We start from the raw sequence: 24,929 nt of genomic DNA on the forward strand, positions 1-24,929 counted from the left end.
ATTTTAGAGGCTAGTGTAAATTTTTTTTAATTTCTATTTCTGATTGTTGCTAGCATATAGAAATATAATTGTTTTGTATATTGACCTTGTATTCTCAGTCTTTCTGAACTTACTTATTCTAGCAGTTTTGGGGTAGATTTCATCAGATTTTCTGCATAGATAGTCATGTTTTCTGGGGATAAAGCAGCGATACTTCTTCCTTTAGAGTCAGGTGTTGTGTGTCTCTTTTTCCTGCCTTATTGTACTGGAGAGGATACCAGTGCAATATTCAAAGTGGAGAGGAGTTTTTTCAATAAACAAACAAATATTAAAGTAGATATTATTGTCATGTTCCTGATCTTAAGCATTTTCAGGGAGGCGGCAAGAGAAGAACCATCCAAGAATCTAAATTCAAAAGGATCTGAATTTTAAACTATTGTGATTAACTAAGGCATTCAAATATAAATCCTATTGGGTAAAATGCTACATGAAATATTGAAGCTTATTTTAGATTTCTCTACTTTCGATTTAGTGGAGTTTCTAAGGAAGATCCTTAGTAAGATGTATATGTGTGAGATATTTGAAAAGAAGAAACCAGTATGGATATTGGAATCATCACATCTGTCCATGAAATGTCACTCAGACAAATGTCAGGAAGAGGAGAGGTCAATGGGAACAAACATTGTACCTCAGTAGCTTCCAACTTCCTGTTCTTTGCATTACAGCACTACCAGGAACTGTAATGAGAAATGCCACTTCTAGAGATTTGAGTAACTTTGCTCTGGGCATCTAAAAAAAAATGTGTGTAAACATGCGTGTACACACACACCACCTGCCACATCTGAGTTTTCATGGGGGCACTTATGAAGGTGACTTCATATCAGAATGGAAATTTGGGATTCATAATAATATTGTTATTGTGATTACTCGAAATACCTTTATCAGACTGCACTCAGAAGGAACCTGAACTAAATGTTCTAAGAGGCTCCTATGGTTTAATAGGTGGCTCAAATAATTTTTCATCACCTTTGAATGCAGGATTAGATGAGTTTTGAACAGATCTTGGTGGTGCTGGCTCTGGTTAGAGCACACCACAACTGAGACACCTGGCTGAGGCCCGGGCTGGAGGAGAAGGCTTATGATTGGCCCAGACAAGACAAATGGTATGAAGTGTGCTCAAACCAAATGATCCCTGCTCAGAGTGAAGCTGGCAATGACCCAGGGACTACCACAGGAGTCCTCAGTCAATCTGGGCCAAGATCATCAAGTTATAGGATATTTAAATTATGAGGGTCTTTAGAGGTTCATTTATTCCAACCCTTTCATTTCATTGCTGAAGATACTGAGGCCTGAAGTAAACAGACTTATCCAAGCTCTCCCAGCTGATTATCAAAGGAATCAAGCTAAGAACTCAGCTCTTCTGACCCCTGGTCAAACGCTCTTCCTACAACACGGTATTCTTTCCTATAATTGTTTGATATCTGCCACCACCTGCCTTGTCAAATATTAAAATAAGTGAGGAAAAAGTATGGGTTGACCTAAATTGTCTGAATAATAGAGAGTAAATGCTACCCAGGCATAGCCACATATGGAAGCTGACCATCTAGAGAGTAATATATTCAAACACTCTCTAATCATAAATCCCTGTGGAAATGAATAGCAAGCAAATAATTTCCCCTTAGGGAACCCAGTATGCCTCACCATTTCTTCCAGACGTTCTCCAACTCTCTTTACCTACTATCACTGTAATGCTCAGCTTATCATGCCATGAGCAGGCACATTCTCTATTTGAGGAAGAAAATCAATGTATGGGTTAGAGATCTCTGGTCCAGTTTCTTAGGTCCATACTAGAAAACAACCAATAGCCAGCTCCATAAACACAGAAGCATCTGTCTGAATTATTGAATCTGAAAAACGTGTGCTCAGGGACTTTTTTCTCTCTCTCTTTCTTTCTTTCTTTCTTTCTTTCTTTCTTTCTTTCTTTCTTTCTTTCTTTCTTTCTTTGTTATATGACTGCTATTGTCTGATTGTTTATGCACCCCCCGCCCCCAAATTCATATGTTGAAGTCTTCATTCCCAAGGTGATGGTATTAGGAGGTGGGGCCTTTGTGAGGTGATTAGGTCATAGGGGCAGAGCCCTCATGAATGGGCTTAGTGTCCTTATATAAGAGGCCTTAGAGAAACCCTCCCCACCCCCGCCACCCATTTTACCATGTGAGGACACAGTGAGAAGACACTATGAACCAGAAAGTGTGCCCTCACCAGACACGAAATCTGCTGGCACCTTGATCTTGAATTGTCCCGCCTTAAGAAGTATGAGAAATAAATTTATGTTGTTTATAAGCTACTCACCTTATGATATCTTATTACAACATCTGGAAAATAGACTAAGACAGTGACCTAGAGCAAGTTACCATTCTGAGTCTCAATTTCCTTGCACACAGAAAGGAAATAATAACATCTTCCTCATAGGCCTCTTTAAATGAACTGGTAAGTTATCTAATCCATGCAAATGTCACTTCTTTCTTCTGCCTTCTACTCCTTCATCCAAGGTTTAAAAATTCTTTCAATGATGATTGTTATGGTAATAAGAAAAACAGTTCTTAAGTACTCTTCACTCTGGCCAGTCAGCAAAGAAATTGCTTTTAACAGAACTGTTTTCTAACTTCAGCTCGGCATTCACCAGCTGACGACTTGATTATCAGCACCAGAAGTTTCATCCACTTAAGAACATGAGACAAATCTGAGATGTGTTAACAAGGCAGTAGACATGTGTTGTGCACTCTTTAAGTGTTTACCATCTGAAGATCACCAGGATGAGTAAACCATATCTCTGTGGGTGTCTTTATGGTTCTGAGATTCTTTGATCATCACCATTAGCTATCAAAGGTGCACTGCCTATTGAAAAAGGAAGGTTACTTGCTTCAGCCCTGCTCTCTGCCTGGTCACAGTATGTTAGTCTGGGTCCTCTGAGAAGCAGGTATCATGAGAGGGTTAAATATGCAAGTATTTTATTAAGGCAAACCCCTGTGAGGGAACATGGGAAGGGAGCCAGGAGAGGCTATGAGAGTTATCATATCTTTATGTAGGTCTGACCCTTGTGAAGGACAGAAGGAAGAAGGCAAGTTGGGTGGGAGAATCTTAAATGGCAGTGCAGGGTCAAGGAAGTTCAGCAACACAGCTAGGGAATTACTCAGCTCAAGCTGTCCACCAGAGGAGTCCTCCCCCGCTGGAATGAGCCATCCTCGGGATCCCTGCTGGGCTCAGTCATTGGTTGGCAGCAGCCTATGGCAAGTATGGCTTCAGCACCAATTCCAGTATGGATTTCCAGGCTCAGCAGCTGAGACCTTCAGTCAATTCTGCTCCTGCAGTGAGAGATCTGAGAGGCACATCCTCACGGCTACCTCAAATACTACAACCAGCAGCAACATTGCTAAATACATAAAGTACACATCGGTAACAAACTAAAATGTCAACTGACACAAGTAAGATGGCAGTTCATTATTTTGCCACCTCAGGTTCTCTCATTTGTAAACTAAAAAACAGTAATAGCAGAACAGTAATCTAAAAGTTTGCTTTCATCCTGGACTGCTAGGAATACACCATAATATTCACAACCACTGATGAGCACTTCTCACTTCATATACAACTTCTTGCTTAATCTTTATGTAAATCCTATTGAGGAAATATTATCTGCAGTTTGCAGATGGAGAAACTGAGCCTTAGCCAGGTTATGTAACTTGTTCAAGGTTATACGACTAGTAAATGGTGAAACTGAAATTGAAAAAATAGACTGATTCCAAAGCACATGCACAAAGCCACTCCTCCCTATTCTCCCTTCCTTTGTGGAAGTTTGAAAACCCAGAAAAAAACAGCAACAATCTAAGTGGCCATTTAAACCTCAGTGAGGTCAACTTGATCCTAGCTGAGACACAGTCACCATTAATTGTTACATTAATTCACCAACTCAGCTCTCATGTATCTATTTTCTCCACTGTGGGTGAGAAATTATGAGTACTTATCCTCATTTTTTTCTAAAATATACAAAACACAGTAACAATCTATGTTCTAAGCACTCACAATGCAGGAAATTTTTCTAAAGCTTTAGGAGACTGATGGAGCCCTACAGCTGTTTATCAAAACCCCGTCTCCAAATTACACAGCAGAAAAAGGTTGTCTGATAGATTAGAAACCGTACCTTTGCCCTCTGTGGCTAAACCCCAAACTTTTCCCAAGCCTCTCTATCTTAGCTTCCATGTTCAGTCAGTCAGTCAACCTGTGAATAACACTTACTGAAACTCCACTGGGTGTTGGAGATAGGGCACAAAGAAAATAGAGGCTTCAGCTCCCATCCCTGAGAACATTACAATCAATTTCGGGAAGTGGAAGATACACTCATGATGGAAATGTAAGATCACTTTAAGCAATGTGCAAACATATTCAAATGCATGTGGGTCAATGTGACCACAAAAGGAGAAATGTCATGTAACTTTTACCATGGGACAGCACAGCTGACTGCAGGAGACTGCTGTGGGCATTCAGTCTGCACCAGGAGTTCTAGTCTTTGTTTTGCTCTGACACTGTGAACTTGAGCTTGCCACTGAATATTTCTGGAATTCCACTTCTTCTCTGTAAAATGAAGCAGTTGGTCAAGACGAGTGATTTTTCAAACTCTGCAAAGCTGAAAACCACTATTTTTTCTCCTCCTAGATGAACCATAATAAAAGTTTGAATTAAGGCGCCCTCTATTTCCCCTCAGAAGTCCCTTAGGCTGTGCATGAAAGTATCTCTAAGATACTTTCTTACATTAATATGTGATGATTCTGTGAATCCCAGAGCATGGGCAGCTTAATGTAGGAAACAGATTTTAGTTCTTTCGAGATTTGAATTCAACTCAATTTATAAATCAATAGTACTATAGTAGAAGTAGAGACATTATATCTTTCTACTGTAGAAGATGTGAGATCAATAACCCATTAGACAAGCAATCTGGGTCATTCTTAACCCAGATTTATAATATTCATAAACATTTACTGAGCATCTTCTACATGCCAAGCATTATATATATACTGGGTGCTGGGATTTAAATCCCTGGAGGAGTACTCAATCTAATAGGTTTTAGACCAGAAAATGTTCTTTATTTTGAGAAGCCCCAAAGAAGGCAGAGTGTTCTCAATGACAGCTTTTAAGCCATGGGTTATTTATTTTATCTAAATGGAACTACTCTGGATGGATTGAACATGTACAACACAGCCTAAGGAAGATCTGTTCAATCTGTCCCAGCATGGAGAGACTGGTGGAGTCCTGCCTCCACGCCTGGGACGCATTATGTGTACTTCATCATTTAGAGACAGAAGGCAGATGGAAAATGCTCTATATGAACAAGCTTCGCTGGTTATTTTATCCTGAAACATGGCTCAACAAGGAAAACACTCTGTTGCTACCACCCTAACCACTCCCAAATCCACTTGTTACTCCTGCATGTTAATCTACTGGAAGATTAAAAAATGGGCCACAAAATAGCCATCGCCTGGAGGACCAGGAGTTCGGACATGTTTTATGAGGGTTCTTGCCTGTAGAACCCAAAACCTCTTGTTCGTTAATGGTTAAATTAAATCTTGCTATGTCTCAGGACTAGGGAAATATGGCTGTTGACTCAATGAGAATCTTACAAGATCAAACATCAAATTCTAACACTTATAACAAGAAGAAAAATGAATATGTACATTTTTGAAGCATTGCAATGAAAATGATCTTCAGAGAATAGATAACAATGCATAATATGAAAGGAAGCTCTTTTTATAAGTATACTGTTATATATATTTATGTTTGTTATATGTATTTTTTAAATATATGTATGTATTAAATTGTATATTTATATACACACTTTTAAATATAAATAAATCAATCTATGTATAAGCATTATATATTCTTTTTTATAATAATATATTTGCATTATATAATGTTATATATACTACATGTAATAATATAATATATGTATATATTATTTATATTTTTATATAATCGTAATATAGAAGAAGCTCTTTAAATATCTTTCTTTGGTTGGCACAGAGATCACTTTGAAGCTGAACATACATAAAGTTATTCACATAACCAGGTTAACTCCTCCAGGCTATGAGAAGTCCTACCTAGTGTTTGTGCACACCTACCATAATACAATTGCAAGTACCATCCTCTTGCTAAGTAATGAATTCTGGGAAGTAGAGTATATAGTGATATATATATCAGTATCTATGTGTATATATATATATATATATAAAATTGTATACACAGCCCATAGGTCAGTGTCTTTTTATCACTAGCCATTGACAAAAGTTTATTTATTTTAATAAAACATTTCTTCTTGTAGAAAATTTCAAATGCATACAAAGGTAGAGACAATAAGATAATAAACTCCCAATACCATTATCTAACTTCACCAATTATCAACCAAAAGCCACATTTATTTCATTTATATGCCTACCTACTTTCTTTTGGAGCAAACTATAACATTACATCATTTCATTCTTAAATATTTTGGTGTATATCTCTAAAAGATAATAAATCTTTAAAAAAAAAACCCTGAGACCATTATCACACTTAAAAAATGAGTTAACAGTAATTCCTCACATCAAATATCCAGGCAGTTTTCAAATTTTCCACATTGTCTTATAATTTTTACATGATTTTTATTCCAATTAGCTTTAAGTAAGTGCTTGGCAGTTGACTGATATGTCTCTGAAGTCCCTTTTCAACTGCAGTAGAAGCAGCCAATAAGGATATAATGTGAGCCACCCATGTAATACTAAATTGTCTAATAGCCACATTTTAAGTGTTAAAAATGGCAAAATTCATTTTAATAATATATTTTATTTAACCCAATATATGAAAAATATTATTTCAACATGAAACCTATATAAAAATTATCACTTTTTTTGTATTGTCTTGAAAGTTGGTATATACTTTGTACTTACAGTATATCTCAATTCATACTAGCTGTATTTCAGGTGCTCATGTACCTAGTGGCTACCTATTGGATAGTATGAATTGTAGGTTCCCTCTCCAAGGCCTAAGTTTTTAGTAATCAAAAAACAAAGTAGCATAGGAACAATTTTTATGTAACTCTTTCTTACAAAGTGATAAGAAGATTCCCAACAGTATGACATATGCATGTTTTGGCCTGTGCATCCCCAAATATTGAGACACGCTCGTGTGCCCATAGTTTATTTGGGAATATGATCTTTCAGAACAGGAGTACGTGGCAGGTGGCAGGAGAGTAAAACATGAAAGGAGCGAAAACTTGTTCAAAATTATGTTGTAGAGTTGGCCTCTGCTACAGGATACTGTGATTTATTCTACTGGGGCCTTCTGGTCACCTGCGGGCAAACAGTAAAGCTTGTCTACAATGGCTCCCACCTCCCAGTGCCAGAAGATGGCCTCTTGGGTATTATAGCCCTCATGTTTCTAGAAGTAAATGTGTGAGTGAGTGTCCAACAGTTCTGTGGAATGGAAAAGCCCAAGAGAGGAAGCAAGAGGTATCTGACTGGGCCAGAGAAAAAGTGCGGGCGGAAGGAGAGGAAGGGGGTGTGCTGCTGACCTGTTCTAGCTGTGCTGTTGTGAGCAAAGCCTGCAGGGCACAGACCACCCACTGCAGCAGTGGCTAGAATTAAAAAGTAAGGCCGAGAGGTTTCTGGTGTTCATGAGGATGCACTTGCAACTTGAAAGTAAATATATGTTAGATGGAAACCATTTCTACAGAGATAGGATGGCCGTGATGGGGGATGGGGAACGTGGTTAAGGAGGCATTAAAAAGCCATGCATGGTGGCTCACACCTATAATCCCAGCACTTTGGGAGGCCCAAATGGGAAGATCACTTGAGCCCAGCAGTTCGTAACCAGCCTGGGCAACATAGCAAAACCCTGCCTGTCTCTATTTTTAATTTTTTTAAAATTTGTTTTATAAAAGAAGGCAGCATCAGAAGAGGCAGGAAGAGACTGTACTGAAAATATTACTCCAGCTAAACTCCCGTATATGCTACTGTTTTTTAAAGCCACGTAACTCTTCAAATACAATCAACAATATTTGAAATACCAATCAGAATATGTAATGTTCTGGTTTTCATGTGCTTATCTTTATTATATTATTTTATCTTTCTGGAATTAATCAGGTTTTCACAATATGGACAATAACCAATCAATTCCTAGACATCATATGTACTTAATAAGCAATATATTTCTGCCACTTATAGTTGATATAATTTTGTGAAATTGTTTAATCAGAGCTGGAAAAGACCTTAGAAAGAAGTGATACGTCAAACCAATGCCACTAAGTGATGTAAAAGTTCCCTTGAGAGCCTTCCTTAGAAATGGTCCTTCAATGTGTGCTGCTACCAGAGAATCAATGTGAAATACCTAGCTTAGTTTTGAGCATCTGCCTGAGTACTACTGCCTGAGTACTTCCAGTTGTCATAAAGCTAGGCTGTTTATCCACCCTCCACTAGTTACATGCTGCTGTCTAAAGCATGACATACTTTAGTCTGAAAATGTTCAGTTCAAGGATGCTATGTTCCGCAACATACCTTTTACCAATTCTGCATAGTAAAAAGTTTATGGTCCTATGTATCTGCCTGGTCACCATACTATACCAGATAAGTCATCTGTAAGAGTGAGTTTTACTGTGCCTCGAAATGTCTGTGATGGTTATAAAAGTAATTGTGTTTATGAATGCTGCACACATTATGGGATCTTATTTTCTTTACATATCAAAGTCTGATTCTTGTTGAGTGGCTGAATAAAAATATTACTGCACTGGGACAAAAATGATTAATCTGGAAATGTGAATGGACTTGGCCATTCTTCTAGCATCCCAAAGATCATTCCGCAATTTCTAACCAATTCCTCGTCTACACCCTTCCTGAAGGGAATAGATAATTTATAGTGAAGAGAAGCTAAGTTTATCTACATAATAAAGGGCTAAGAGAAATCCTGTGGAGGAAGGAAAGGAGGGAAGAAAGCCCTGTAGGGTAGGAGAGGAAGAAAAGTATTGTTTTGGGAGTTGGGGGTAAGGAGATAACAGAGAGGATCTGACTGCTGGGATATGTGAAGGAAATGGAGAAGAGGGAAAGATGTCAACATCGCTGTGGACTGAGGAGTGGACTCCCCTTTAATGTTCTTTATGGGAAATTGTAAAGAAATGTCTTTTTAATTAATGTTGGTCTTTGAACTGTTCTTAATTGCTCTGTGAATATTTGTGTTTCTGGGGGTTATACTACTCTCCTCCAAATGAAGCCCAAGTTCAATGAGATATTAACCAAGTAAGTGAAGGTAGCCCATTGCTGATTTATTGGCCTCATATCTTATTTTTCATGTTTGTATTAGCTGCTTTTTCTCAGAGCTGCATTTAAAAAAAAAAAACAAAACACCTTTCTTGGCTTAGCTTTTGAAACATTTATTCTGATTGCAGCAGCTATTGTGGTTAAGTTGCCACTGCATTGAGTTGTTTCATTTTATTCACCAGACCCATATTGAGTGCCAACCATATGTCAGGCTCAGTGCTAAGACTGACAGGAACCTATAATCCATGATCAGAGCTTGCATGGAAAGCAAGTGATGGTACTGGAGTATGCTCCAGGGCACCTGAGCAGGAATGTTTAAAAATGCATATATGTTAATAGTGTTCACAGTACTGCAAGCCATGATCTTAGGAATCTTATTATGCTTGTTATTGCCAAGTCAGAGTACCCACCAAGAAATTTCAACACTTTGGGTAGTTATACACAAAGGTGGACGAAAAGTGAAAAATTCAGTCACTCGTCCAGATCTATTGCTAATATTATGAAATTTCTTGGCAACTGTCTGATTTCCTTTGCTTTCATCTTGAAGTTTGGCCTCATGGAGCCATATGTTGAGTGTAAGCATGTTCAGGAATGCATATCCTCAGCTTCAAGGACATTTTCATTTGATTGGAGGTGATAACACAACTGGAATTGAGTTATGGCACTGGATGCATCCCTCCCATTCCAGTAAAAATGATTGGAGGATGTTCAACACCTGAAATTAACCAGATCTTCAAGTTATACATCTCATCATTAAATTTATCACTGCAGAACCTGAATTTTCCTGACATGGAAAGCTTTTTTTAAATAAATGCTTAGAGCTGGGAAGATGCCCAGCACATTAATCCTTGAACCATACAAAGGGAATCATTTTGTAAATGGAAATAAGTCCTTTAATATAAACTGGGCGACCATTCAATCACTAAGCCTTGCTTTGCAGTATCCTATTTAACCCACTGAGTGTTCTGTTCTTTTCCATTCATCTAGCTTGAGCCACAAATATGTTGCTTCTCGTTTTGCCCTCGGATATTTTTTTTCTTATCATGACTTAGAGGCAGCCAGAAGAATAGTATCAGTGCCTAGAAATGAATTATGAATCACTCAGTAGTTTCAAAATCCAAAGGGATAAGAAAAGTCATAATCCCAAATATACCAGTCATTCTTCTTTACTTCACTTTTTGCAAGAAAAATGTTATAATTTGAAAACTTGCTACAAATTTTTCTTGTTGAAGTCAGAGACATGGATATTCTGGAAAGAAGATGTAAGAGTAAAAACGTGAGAGAGACCAACAAGCAAGTGTGTTAAATGCATCTTCATTATGTACGATTTTTGTGCCCAATGGATGAGTCAGGATGTCAAGACAAGGAAGTTTGGATACGTCGCTTTACCTTCAAAGTGTAGTTTGCTGCTTTCTGCCAAATGAAATGTAAATAGAAAGTCAAAGTGATCTTTTTCTGCTGTGAGTCAGATGTCTAAAGGCCCGTTCAGGAATGAAGGCTGGTCCATGCAGAGGTGACCTGACGATCTGACAGAAAGGTGCTTCTGTATTTGAGAGGCTCGGGCTAAGCCAAAAATAAAAGCAGTGGTCTCTGGGGGCTCCCCTCATATTCCAAGGTAAACTAAATAAATTAAATAAATGGTAAGTCAGCATTAACATTCAAAATTTGTGACAGGTAAAAAGGAATCATTCAGAAAGAAACATGGTCACACTTTGTATCAGATTCAAAGCAGAGATTCTGACCCAGTATAAGCAAGAGTTTGTGTCTTTTTACTTACAATACTGTGACGGTGACTTATAAAGGTCTTTGTGTGTGTGTGTGTGTGTGTGTGTGTGTGTGTGTGTGTGCTCAGTGTCTTTCTATTGTGTATGCAGAAACATGCAAAGAACTCTACAGCCTCATTAACAAATACTAGATTTGAGAGGCTAAGTATTTTATGGGATGTTCCCACTCGTACACTTCATTAGTAAAGATTTGTTAGTAAAGGCGATCTCAAAAGGTCTGGTTATTCCTAATTTCCCTAGTCCCTAACTCAAAGTCCATATTTTCATTTCACAAACTGGATAACATTTAATTGCTTCAGGTCCTTTTAAGTAGCTGTACCAAAGACCATTGTTTGCCTACCCCCCAGTATCCATTCACCACCCCCCCCCCTTATTTTTTAGCAGTAGAACCCTGATTTCTAACTAGGATTCCCATATTTAGCAAATAAAAATACAGATTGCTAAATTAAATTTAACTTTCTGTAAAACAACAAATCAATTTTTAGCATAAGTATGTCCCAAGTATTTTATAAGTATGTATAAGTATGTCCCAAGTATTGTATAAGTATTGTATAGTATAAGTATGTCCCAAGTATGCCTAGTTAAATTTGAATTTCAGATAAGCAACAAATAATTTTTAGTCTACATATTTCCCAAATATTTCATACTTAAGCAAAAAAGTATTTATCTGAAAACCAAGTTTAACTGGGCATTTATTATTTTATCATGCAACCCCCTTAACTGCTCAATCCCCTTAACTAAGTTGCTACCCAACTTAGACTACATTTCCAAGGCTCAGACCATGGTGTGACAATGTGACCAAGCTCCTGTCAATGAGGTGGAAGCTTATGTTGAGTGGTGTTCCCAGGAGGTCTCCTAACCAGAAAGGAGGTCTACCAGAGCTCAGTCATGAACAAGGCTCTGATAGAGACAGAAAGAAGTGGGGTCCCTGGCAACATTGTGTTGCTGACGTAGCAGCACTGAGCTGCCTCCCTGCAAATTCCCTTGAGAGCTATATAAACTCCTGCTTTATTTAAATAATCACCATTTCTTCTGTTACATTCAGTTGAGTCCAATTCTAACTTATAGAGGCTTACCTTCTTAGGGATTTGTGAACACAGCAAAACCAAGATCTGTGAACAGGGAGGTCTGTGGAAAGTAGAACATGTGAAACAGTGTGAACATTCACAGTTACGTAGATTCTCATAGTCTCGCTGACTGTCTCTCACACACATTCAGATTTCCCTACTTTTCTAAAGCCCTGGGTCTTCTAATTTCCTGCCCCGTCTTCTTCCTGACAGTGCTCAAAAGTTAACTCTAGTAATTCAGAAAAAGAAACAAAACAAGCAAACAAACAAACAAAAAACCCAAGGGCCATCCTTAGAGGACTGGAGCATAAAGCTAAATTGGGTTTAACAGTTTCATTGAAGAGGTTGGGTGGCGTGGCCATTTTCAACACAAATAATTTGTGGATACTTTTTCAGTGCGCTGTCAGGTGGCAGGAATTAAGGTCCTAGATTACAGTAATTTAATACTTTGGAGCATCTTTGGCTTTGGAGAAAAAAATGTAAAAATGAATTCCTAATAACATGTTACCTTGTATAAAAAGGAATAGATCAATATATCATCCCTTGAAATTTTCCCAGGTCAGAATACTTATATATAAAATTCTGTTCCAAAAATGCAATGTTGATTTTTTTTTTCAGTGCTTAAGATTTGCCAACTTCAACATTTTTCTTGGTACCATGAAAAATGTTGCCACTGGCAGGCATTCTATGGAGGTAGGAAAGCAAAAATAGTGTTAAACAGTGGGACTGTGAGAACAGGAGTCTGTACATTTTCATTAACATGTCATTCAGAATCCTGATTAGGAGATCTATTTTTAATTCCTTAAGGGGACAGAAATATATAGAAAGCAGATGAACAGAAAAAAAAATACAACCTTCAAATGTAACAAATAAAAGTAAAACTAAGGCAAAGATAAGATATGAAAAAGGCTAAACACGATTAGTTTTGTCATAATAAAGACACAACCACCACTAGTAGATTTTTGCAAAGGCTAAAAATTTCAGAATCTGGTTAGAATGTGGAAGTTATCTAAACGGGATTGATTAGTATCTCCCCAAAATGCAGAATTCAACCTATTTGGAAATAGGTTCTTTGCAAATGAAATTAGTGTTGAAGGCATACTGCATTAGATGGGCCCCAAATTCAATGATTACTGTGTTTATAAGAAGAGGAGAGGACATGCAGAAAGACCATGCAGAAAGAAGGCTACATGGCAACACAGTCAGAGATGAGAGTGATGCAGCTACATGCCAAGGAATGCCAAGGACTGCTGGCAACCAGCAGAAACTAGGAGAGAGGTTTAGACCAGAGTCTTCCTCAGAGCCTCCAGAAGAAACCAACTCTGCTGACACATTGATTTTGGACCTCTAGCCTCTAGAGCTGTGAGAAAATTAATTTCTGTTATAGTAAGCTACCCAGTTTGTGGTACTTTTGTTACGGCCCCTAGGAAACTAATACATCACCCAATGCCCCTTGCCTCTGAAAGCAAGGCATTATATACATGTTCAAAAGATATCACTGGATCCCAGGTCACCCAGAACATTCCAGTGCTTATTTTTCAACTCCTCAGATCCCGACCAATGGATGCTATTGACAAGCAAATATTTTTGCAGGATCTTTATTTATTTGAAAGCCTTTATTCTGCCTGCCAAGTTGGAAAGACCATTCAATTATGTCTTTTGTTGAAAGCTTAGTTGTTTATATTTTGTGGCTTCATTGGCTTCTTTATTTTCAAAAGAAGAGAAAGCAAAATCAAAGGAAATGAAGCAAAGTGAAGTTTTATCAGCACTTCAAGGTCTCTGAGCCTCTACAAATCTACAAACACAATAGCATCATCAGTGTGTCTCATATATTCTAGGTCTGTGAAGTCAGGTATATAATATGGAAGGTTTGCAAATGGTCTGCCCTTCCACCATTACCTAACTAAGAGTGCATTTAGTATTTCTTCTTCATCATATTGACAGTCCACTCAAAACAAAATAGAACTGTATTATTTTCCCTGACCAAAACCAGGACTGTGAGCCTATGCCTCTTATAAACACTGAGGGTCCCTTTGAGAAGTGTTACTCAGCCCTTCTTCAAATCAACACGCATTAAGAAAATGAGCATTATAAAGCATAATGCAGTAAATCGGAAGAAGAAGGGGACATGAGGAAACTTATTTGCAACTTGGTGGAAAGACATATCACATTTTGTGTACTATATAAAAATGGCAAGCGATAAAATACAAAATGTTAAGGAAGGTATTAAATAATGATTGCATAAATATTCTGAATAATTTTTTCAAACTACTGAATTCAGGAAGTTTTCAGGGGAAGCTGGATAAATATTATTCATTATAATTCCAACATTGTACGTTTTTAGATGTTTTTAAAAATTGGTCTTAGGACTTTTAACATCAAGAGTTTATTGAAAACTATCTTGGGGGAAACTCTAGAAAGAGGATGGCAGTGGCTACGAAGGTTTTAAATCTCTCTAAATACATAAAAACAGAGCAGCTAGAGAGCAAAATCACAGAAACCTGCGGCGGACTCTCACAACACAACTATGCAACAAGGCATCCCCAAAAGCTATAAAATGCAATTGGAAGACACAATACACGCTAATAGTCATAAGACCTGCATGATCTCAAAATCCATGCAGGAGATGGCAGAAGGGACCGGGGGTGATGGACAGACTTGAGAACATGAGAATTTCAAATGTTCTTTTTATCATGACACTCCCTCTCATAACTTGTTGCTTCATGCTGCATTTGCTGAATCTTTCCAAGCCTCTGTCATAGATTTAACCTACCTCCCTCAAATGTTACCAAAGAGACAGACTTGAGTCTGATCAGTCCTCATGATCCAGTTGCCAGTTTGCAGGAAAAGTGGAGAATAGAGAAACATGTTGTATGAAACCATAAATACGCAGTCAACAAAATCCTGACTGTGGGAAACTGTAAAAGTCAAACGCTCTAGTTCCTCCACAGAAATACTGAAAGAAAAGAAAGAGAGGGAGAAAGTGTAGATTTAAAAAGATTTAAAATACACATGAAATTTTTTTAAATGGGTGAGTCTACACGATAATGTTTAGGAATGCACACTCGCGTGATAAAAAAAAGATTTAAAAAAAAAGCAAGGATGTGATTTACTTTCGAAGGGTAAGGAAGAAGCTGCCATTGAGCTAGAATACACAGAAAGGTCTAATAGAGAGGCTCGGCGGGGCGCGGTGGCTAACGCCTGTAGTCCCAGCACTTTGAGAGGCGGAGGCGGGCAGATCACCTGAGGTCAGGAGCTTGGGACCAGCCTGAGAAACATGGAGAAACCCCGTCTCTACTAAAAATACAAAATTAGCCAAGTGTGGTGGTGCGTGCCTGTAATCCCAGCTACTCGGGAAGCTGAGGCAGGAGAATCGCTTGAACCCGGGAAGCCGGTTGCAGTGAGCCGAGATCGCACCGTTGCACTCCAGCCTGGGCAACGGAGCAAACCTCGTCTCAAAAATAAATAAATAAATAAATAGGCTGACTCTATTTTTGATGTTTGCCTGCTGACGACTTTCAAGTCTCCCTGGCCCCTGCTCCCCATTCTGCCCCACATTTGGACAAGCCAGTAAGAGAGCCCACAAGCTCTTCCTTTGCCACCAGCAGGAAGTTCCAACTATGCATGCCATTTTCAGACCTGCTAGGATACCTACCTTGCTCTTGCCAGAAAGCCTCATTATATGAGTAATACATCTTTTCATACCCTCTTTATGTGTTTCATACCCAACATTAATCTCAGTATCCAGGCCAAATTTTGGGTAAAGAATCAATTTGATCTCTGTAGCATGACCACAACAAGGCTTCTGGGGTGGCTGGCAAAACTCTACTTTTTTGACCTGTGTGGGTGCTTAAAAAGGTGTTTGCTTTATAACTTAAGATGAATGTTTATCATGTATGTGATTTGCTGTCTCTTTATTTTATTTTGCAACAAAACAGATAAAAATAAAAGCAATAACAACAATGATTTCCTGTGGCAAATTTGTAACCCCTTGTGATACATCCATTAGAAATCTCAGACTTGGAATAACACACTTCTTAGAACCAAAGTACTAAGTAAGATAGTGCTGGTCCTTTAACCTGGCTTGCCACCGCATACGCTGGTTTCTGGACACTACCAAGAATAGGACTCTAATCTTGACCTACAGAGTATATTAGTCTGGGTCCTTCTGGATAAAATCAATTCCCTACATGTCCCATGTCTTCAACTATAATTTCATGTTTTTCCTTTTGCATTTCATACAAAGATGACCATAACTTTTCGTGGATAACCTGAAGAAGTTACATAAGGGAACATTCTATGTATTCCTCCTGTTTTACATCTTCTTGGACACCAGTTCAAAGGGAGTCAAACAGTTAGCAAATTTGCTTCCTTCTTTTTTTTTTTTTTTTGAGATGGAGTTTCGCTCTTGTCACTTAGGCTGGAGTGCAATGGCACTATCTCCGCTCACTGCAACCTCTACCTCCTAGGTTCAAGTGATTCTCCTTCCTCAGCTTCCCAAGTAGCTGGGACTACAGGTGCCCACCACCACACTCAGCTAATTTTTGTATTTTTAGTAGAGATGGGGTTTCACCATGTTGGCCAGGCTGGTCTCGAACTCCTGGCCTCAAGTAACTCACATGCCTCAGCCTCTCAAAGTTCTGGGATTACAGGCATAAGCCACTGTGCCTGGCCTGCTTCCTTCATTTTTATAATAAAGCTTTATTTATTAGCCACATTAGAAGCACACTTTTGCTTAACCATTTTATTATATCACTATCTAAACTTCTATTTGAAATATGCCAAATAGATTTAGATAATACTGCATTTAAAGTGTCTGTATAAACTCAGGAGACTTGAACTAGTGAATTAAATAAAATGTAAGAGAACTGGTTGCTTTTATTTTATTTCATTTTTTGCACTTATGATATTCAATGAAATTGGCATGTAATTTTCTGTTCTTATATTTGTCTAGTTTGGGTATTGCATAAGCTAGAATAACTAATATTAACTTCTGTAATATAGGAACCTCAAACCTTAGTGGCTTAATCTCATAAAAGTTTATCTCTCACTGATGCAAAAGCTAATCAGTTCTTCTTTGTTTAAGGGCATCATTCTATATGGCCATTCTGGGACACACTTCTTTTTATGTCTGTACCATCCACCAAGTCCTTGAAGTACTCTGCCACTTACTCTGCATCCAGCTCTCAGAAAAGGCAAGAGAGACCGTGTAGAAGATACCATGGGAAGTTTCAAAAGTCCAGGCCTGGAAGTGGCATTGTACATTACAACCACCCACGTTTCAATGGCAAAAACAAAGTCACATGACCACATCTACAGCAAAGGATATTGAATTGTGTAGATTGGTTTGTGTAAGACTGGAATCAACATTTATCTGAATGTTTGATAAATCTTTCTGATAAAATCATCTAAACCAAATTTTTTGTTATTAGGAAAAATTTTAACTATTGTTTAACTAAAAAATCAATTACATTAAGGTTTTTGAAATTTATTGGCATAAGTATTTTCAGAGAAATCTCTCATATTTTAAAATCTTTGCCATGTCAATTGTTATGTCCTCTTTTCATGCTTAATTTATTTGTGACTTCTCTTTTTTCCTCGATCAAAAAATCAGCTTTGGTATTTATTAATCCTGAATATCATTTCCTATCTCATTAATTTCTTCTCAAGTCTTTATTATTGCCTTCCTTTGACATTTTGGGTTTGATATATTGTGACTCCTCTAATTCTGGCATTATCGTAACAACATTTTTCTAATATTAAGCATTTTCACTTCTAAGTTTCCTTTTGATTATCACTTTAGCTGATTCCTACACATTTGTATATGAAGTATTTTAATTAGTAAGTTTAAAAATATTGTAACTTCCACTCTGATTGCTTTCATGGATTGTTTTAGTTTGTTTGCTGGTGCTATAATGAATCCCTCAAATTGGGTAATTTATAAAGAAGAGAAATTTATTTTCTCACAATTCTGGAGACTGGGAAGTCCAAGATCAAAGCACCAGTAGTTAGCAAGTGTCTTCTTGCTGCTTTATCACATGGTGGAAGGGCAAAGAGGCAAAAGGGGCCAAACTCATCCTTTTATAATGGCATTAATCCTACCCATGAGAGTAGAGTCTTTATGCCCCAATCATCTCTTAAATGTCCCACCTCCCAACACCACTGCAATGGTAATCAAATTCCATGAGTTTTGGAGGGGACAAACATGCAAACCATCACATGGACAAGTTAAGTTAATTATTAGAACCGTCTCCCATTAAAATTCCACGTTTGGACTTTTTTGCAGTAAACTTCTTGTGTGTTTTAAAATTTTTTACTTAATTATATTAGGGTTAGATAGTATGATTTCTATAATAGAAATACTTTGACACTGACTGAGACTTGCTTTAAGGGCTTAGTATGTGGTCAGTCTTTATAAATACTCCATGTGCCTTTTAAAGGAAGATTCATTCTAAATTTGCTGGTTGCAGGGTTCTACATTATTTCCGTCAGATCAAACATGTTAATTGTTTTACTGAAACTTATATCCTTTAGTAAGTTTTTGCCTACTTATTCAACCAATATGTTAAACTTCTTCCATTTTGCTAGTAAAGTTATTAATCTCTCTTTATAATTGTGTCAAATTTTTCCTTGTATCCTCTCAAGCTATATTATTGGGTGGATAGAGGTTAAGAATTATTATACTTTCCTGTTGGATTTAACCTTTTATTATAATGCCTACTAATGCCTTTGCCATGAAGATATCAGGAATTTTATCAGTAAGCTATACCAGATGTCATTAAATTTTACCTGAATATATTTAACAGTTTTTTTATGAAGGTCAATTGCATAGAGTTGGATTAATCAAAGTCCTTGGTGCAGTATGCACTGCATTTATTGATCTATCCATGACCATTCTTTATTTCATTGTTTGTCTATTTGTTCATTTGTATGTTTATATTATAAACTCCCAGGAACCAACTTCCCAATACATAGAGCATTGCCAATAATTTATATGTGAGCTCCTTCTATATTTCACACTTCTGGTTCCCCTTCAGAGGCAGTAATTATCCTAAATTTTGTGTTTATCATTTGTTTGGTGTGTTTGTATTTGTTTTGCTTTCGGGTTCACTTCATATATTTGTTTGTTTTTTATCAACTTTTAAGTTCACTTCATATATTTGTATGCCCAAACAGTATATATCTTTTAGTTTCATAAAAAATACATTATATTGAGGCTGGGCACGGTGGCTCATGCCTGTAATCCCAGCACTTTGGGAGGCCGAGGCAGGTGGATCACAAGGTCAGGAGTTCGAAACCAGCCTGGCCAGCATGGTGAAACCCCATCTCTACTAAAAGTACAAAAATTACCTGGCCGTGGTGGTGCACGCCTGTAGTCCCAGCTACTCGGGAGGCTGAGGCAGGAGAATTGCTTGAACATGGGAGGTGGAGGTTACAGTGAGCCAAGATCACACCATTGCATTCCAGCCTGGGCAGCAGAGCAAGATACCGTCTCAAAAAAAAAAAATATATATATATATATGTATATACACACACACACACACACACATATATATATTATTATATTGTATGTTGTTTTGAAGGAGTTACTATTTTTACTCAATTTCGTGTTACTGAGAATCACCCACCCTGTTTTCTGCACTTAATTATTTTCAGTGCTGTACAATACCATGTTACCTGATTATACCACAATTTCTTGATCCATTTTCCAGGCAATGAGCTCCACTTTTATATTCAGTCTTCCTGTCAACATATATTTTAGATTCACTTCTAGTGAAAATAAAAACCAGAAGTTTCTTTTTAAAAATTTTAACACAATATGTTAAGTTCTTTCTTTTACACCTGGATTTAGATTTTGTATATTTAAAGTAAATTACTAAAGTTTTTTCTACATTTTTAGTTTGAACTTTCTATTTTCTTGCCTTTATTATGTTTCTTTTATTTCTTCTTTCTAAACTTTTTTAGCAGTGATTTTTTTTTTCATTTTTTTAACCTATGTTTATAGAAGATATGTACTTTGCTACTTTTAATAGTTGACCTTAAAATGTTAATATATGCATTTAAATTAAAATGTAAAACTATTCATTATTTCTACTTTGTTTCTGGACAATACAATGACCTTGGAACATTTTACCTCTGGTCACCTCTGTGGTAGACATGGAGGAATGATGTTCAGCGTCTATTGCAAATTTTTTTAACTGACAAGGGCTAGAATGCTAAAATGGTTTTCCAGCCTCTTGCGGCTAATGTTCTGGATATGATTTCGTTTCCACCAAACAGAAGCACCACCAATCAGAGTTGGAGTACAGAAGTGAGGTAGACATCATACCTTGGCTGTTTCGGCTGGCAGGTACGGTCAGGAGGCATGTGGTTACTCTAAAGCAGTGTTGTCCAAGGTCTAGTATCCAGTCAGTTGCTTCACGAATGTTGTCAGACAAGATGTGAAGCATTCACTTTAAGGGACCATGTTTTTGATGTTGTATCTAAAAAGTCTTCACCATTCTCAAGATTATCTAGTTTTTCTCCTACGTTATCTTCTAAGAGTTCTATAGTTTTGCCTTTGATATTCAGGTCTCTGATACATGTTGAATTAATTTTTGTGAAGGGTATAAGGTTTGTATCTAGATTAATTTTTTTCTGCATATGGATGTCCAGCTGTTCCAACACCGTTTGTTGAAAAGACTGTCTTTTCTCCATTGCATTGCCTTTGTTCCTTTGTCAAAGACCAGTTGACTATATTTATGTGAGTCTATTTCTGAGTTATCTATTCTGTTCCATTGATCTATTCGTTTATTCTTTTGCCAATACCACACTGTCTTGATTATTGTAGACTTCTAGTAAGTCTTGAAGTTAGGTAAATTTAATTCTCTCACTTTGTTCTTCTCCTTCAATATCGAGTTGGCTATTAGGGTCTTTTGTCTCTCCATGTAATGTTTAGGATCAGTTTGTTGATAGCCGTAAAATAACTTGCTGAGATTTTGGCTGGGAATCTATAAATCACGTTGGAAAAACCAGACATCTTGATAAAATTGAATCTTGCTAACCATAAACATGGGACATCCCACTTTTTATTTCTTTATTTCATCAGAGTTCTGTGGGTTTTTTGACATAGATATTATATGTATTTTGTTAGATATTTATCTAAATATTTTATTTTGGTGAGAACCACTGTAAATGATAATAAATATAATTTTAATTTCAAATTTCTCTTATTTATTGCTGGCATATAAGAAAGTGATTGATTTTTGTATGTTAGCCATATATCCTCCAACTTTACTATAATCACTTATTACTTCTAGAACTTTTCTTGTCTATTCTTTAAGATTTTGTACATAGGCAATCATATCACCTGTGAACAAATGGTATTATATTTTCTTTCCCAAGCTGTATACCTTTTATTCTACCTCTGTTTTTGAGTATTTGTTTATCACCATATATAATTTGCAGAGGGCAGTTATTTTCTTTCATCCCTTTGAAGGTATTATAAACCAATTTTTGGTTTATATTGTTTCTGTTGAGGTCTGCTACCAATACAATTTTTGTTTTATTATAGGTCAACTCTGTTTTTCTCTGCCTGCTGTTAAGGTTTCCTCTTTGTCTTTAACCTTATGTAGTTATATTACAATGATTTTAGAAGTGTTTTTTTTAATTTCTATATCTAATTCTTTGCATCTTGTGGGTTTCATCAATTTTAGACATTTTTCAACTATTTTATTTTCTAATATTGCATCTTTTTCATTATCTTTAATCTTTGGTTGGTTTAAATTCAAATAGGCATACGTTAGAGCTTCTCATTCTGTTTTTCTATTATATTTTTCATCTCTTTGTCTCTCCTACATTTGTTTCAATATCTTGTGCTCTATCTCCCAGTTCACTTATTATCTCTTTAGCTTTATCTAATCTTCTGTTTAGATTTATGTGTTGAAGATTATATTTTTTTACTTCTAGGAGTCCTTTTTTATTCTTTCTCAAATCTGCCTGGTCATGTCTGAAAGTATCACATTCTACACTCATGTTTCCAATTTCTGTATTTCTGAAAACACTTTAATCACACTTTTTCTTAGTGTTTAATAATTCCAATATCAAACAGAGGGGTGTCTAGCTCTGCTTTTTGTTGTTTCTGATAATATTTATATATTTTTTCTTCCTGAACAATGTGACTAGGACCCATATTTGACTGTTTTTATATACACAAATTCTGAAACGCCTAGGCTGAGATGCATTCTTTTAGAAGGAATTTGTGTTATCTCTTTCCAAGCATCCCGGAACATCCCTGACCCCAAAATATTTTAATTTAATTTACTGAATTGCATTTCCCTGGACTGTGCAAGTGATATTAATTTGAATCCTTTTTCTGTACATGGGTAGTCATATGGCTGCTAATTTCCAGAAAAAAATTTTCCCACCTCAAGCCAAGAACTTAGACATATTTCCTTGCCAGCTTCTTTTTCCAGGAAACAGATTTTTTTTAGCCCCCTTTTTACTGTAGCTATAACCCTTCATAACTGCAGGGTATTTGGAGGTCTTTGTTCTTTCTACACACTTTATGTGAGCCAAAGTTTTGTCTGTCATTCTCCCTCATGGCTACTACAACGCAGCTTTTGAAGCTCCTCGTACTGGCAGATCCCTTCAGTGTAGCCCATGTCTCTATTACACATACATCACTCTAGTTTAGTTCACTATCTTTTGGCTCCAGTAGATTTCTTGCATTTGTGTTGTGGGTGGGTGTGACCCTACATATGAATTTCAAAGATTATTAGTTAAGTATTAAGAAACATAGCTAGGTGTATGCAATAAGAAGGCTTTTCAGAATTTCTTACTCATAATATTACTGAAGTGGTAATAGAGTTGAGAGCCATGAAACAACTGGAAATTATTTAAAGATAATAATGCTTACAATAATGCTTATAATAGTTTTATGTACCAAAATGCACATAATAACCTACCCAAAGGTTTTTGGTGCAATGATATAGGATATCTTGAAGGAGTACTATTCCAGCTTTATTAACATTTGATATTATGTATATAATTGTTCAATGTAGATTAGCCAGTGTTCATATTTTGTCAGCAAGTGTTCAAGTCTCAACTGGGAGGAACTGTGAGTAAGAAAAGCATGAGATATTTTAAAGGAATTAAATTTGATATTTGGATTCCTGGATTTCTAAAATTGCCTTTGACCTTTCTGCCCTATGTTTATCTGTAGCCACAAATTTCAAATCTGTCAACCATTTTTATTTAAGACAAAGAACACTTTTGAATCCTGAAATTTCTGTGCCGTAATAAGTTGGATTTTATCTGTTCACTCCAGAGAATACACATGCTTCAAGTGTGTAACCCCAGGATCCTCCTTCTGCCATGAGGAATGAGGATGCATGTGAATCCCTTCGGGCCTGTACTCAAATTGCCCAAGCCCTGAGAGCTTCTAGTACCACCAGCAACAACAGCAGAGCTACAGGCTTTCCGTGAACCCACAGAATCTCTGGTTTGGAGTTCTGACCATGATTGTTCTGCTCCCTCCTTCTTCCCCTGCCTTGTTCTCTTGTTTGTGCCAGAGTCAAATGGAAGCATCAGACTCCCATGTAAGTGGTGACTGTGATCTCCCCACCCTATGGCTTACTGGACTTCTGGCCTCTCTTCTCTTCTGGGCAACCTCTGGAGAGGAGGATGTCCATCCCCCTCAGGCCCTCAGCTGCAAGCTTTCTGGTTGCAGGGCAGAAACTCTGCCTCATTCACAAGCTTTCTGTACTTAGAGTGAGCGAGAAGCTCTGTTCTTTCTTGCTCTGTGAAGATTGTAAGCAGGATAGCTCCTAATTGACACATTTGTTAAAGCCTCTCTGCCAGCAGCTCAACTTGTCCTCACCCTACCGTGCTCCCAGCCATGAAGCTTTGTAGGCTCATTGCACCTGTTGACAGAGGGGCCATGGCCACAGGCCCAGCTGGCTCAGCATCCCTCCAGCAGGAAAGCATGAAAAGTGTTAGACTCCCATGCAGCACCCCAGACCCATGGGCAGGGCAGGATGAGGCAGAGGGTCTTTTAGAAAAATCTGAATACCTGCTGTGAATGAACATCGTGCCAGTTAAGACTTTCTACAGGTGGAAGGCAAAGAACTGTAAAGACTTCCTTCCTCTCTCAGAACATATAACCCACTGCCCTGAAATGCATTTAGCCAGGTAGCTGGTCAAGGTGTCAGGCTTATAGTAAACTCTCAAAGTCTGTATCATGGTCTTCCCCTCTCTTCCCTTAGGCATCTCTACTCCAAGCTTTTATTTTGAGCCTTCTTTTTTAAAAAAAATTGTTATCCAGAGATATATGTATAATATCATTTTGATGTATGTCCTCTATAATTATAATCTAGATGCATGCCTCCAATAATTTTAAATTTAGATTTTAGTTCATAATGATTCCAGTTTTCAAAGCCTTCTAGTTTGTGCTGTACATTAAAATAGCCATAATTCTTGACTTCCTTTCTCAAAAACTGAATTCCAGAACAAGCCAATTCATTCATATATTTAAAACTGTTGAGCATTTACTACTGCCAGGCACTGGGCTAGGTGCGAGATATATAAGAGTGGGAATATCAGACAAGATCCCTCCCCATACAGTGTTTACAGTTTAATTGGAGAGACAGAGCAAAGTAGCTATACAAATAAAATAACTACAAACTGGGATGGTTGCTATGAAAGAAACATGCAAGGGGCTGAGCTGAGACTACAGAAATTTTACTATATTTCTTATCAAAATATATCCTAATTATCTGTCTGTT

At 37.2% G+C, this 24,929-nt stretch overlaps 2 long non-coding RNA genes across 3 annotated transcripts in view; one reads left to right on the top strand and one right to left on the bottom strand.

Moving 5' to 3' along the window:
* Nucleotides 1-17,902, top strand: part of LOC105379007 (uncharacterized) — a 38,941-nt gene extending 21,039 nt beyond the window's left edge. For both annotated transcript variants that reach the window (XR_948392.3, XR_002956213.2), the window contains one exon: nucleotides 17,252-17,902. This is a non-coding gene — a long non-coding RNA (uncharacterized LOC105379007). The remainder of the gene's footprint in view (nucleotides 1-17,251) is intronic.
* Nucleotides 10,809-24,929, bottom strand: part of LOC107986420 (uncharacterized) — a 39,066-nt gene continuing 24,945 nt past the window's right edge. Inside the window, exons 2-3 of the long non-coding RNA XR_001742692.1 lie at nucleotides 12,175-12,226; nucleotides 10,809-10,934 (exon numbers count right to left, since the gene is read on the bottom strand). This is a non-coding gene — a long non-coding RNA (uncharacterized LOC107986420). The remainder of the gene's footprint in view (nucleotides 10,935-12,174; nucleotides 12,227-24,929) is intronic.

The sequence above is a fragment of the Homo sapiens genome, chromosome 5 (assembly GCF_000001405.40).
Source record: "Homo sapiens chromosome 5, GRCh38.p14 Primary Assembly".
Classification (NCBI taxonomy): Eukaryota; Metazoa; Chordata; class Mammalia; order Primates; family Hominidae; genus Homo; species Homo sapiens.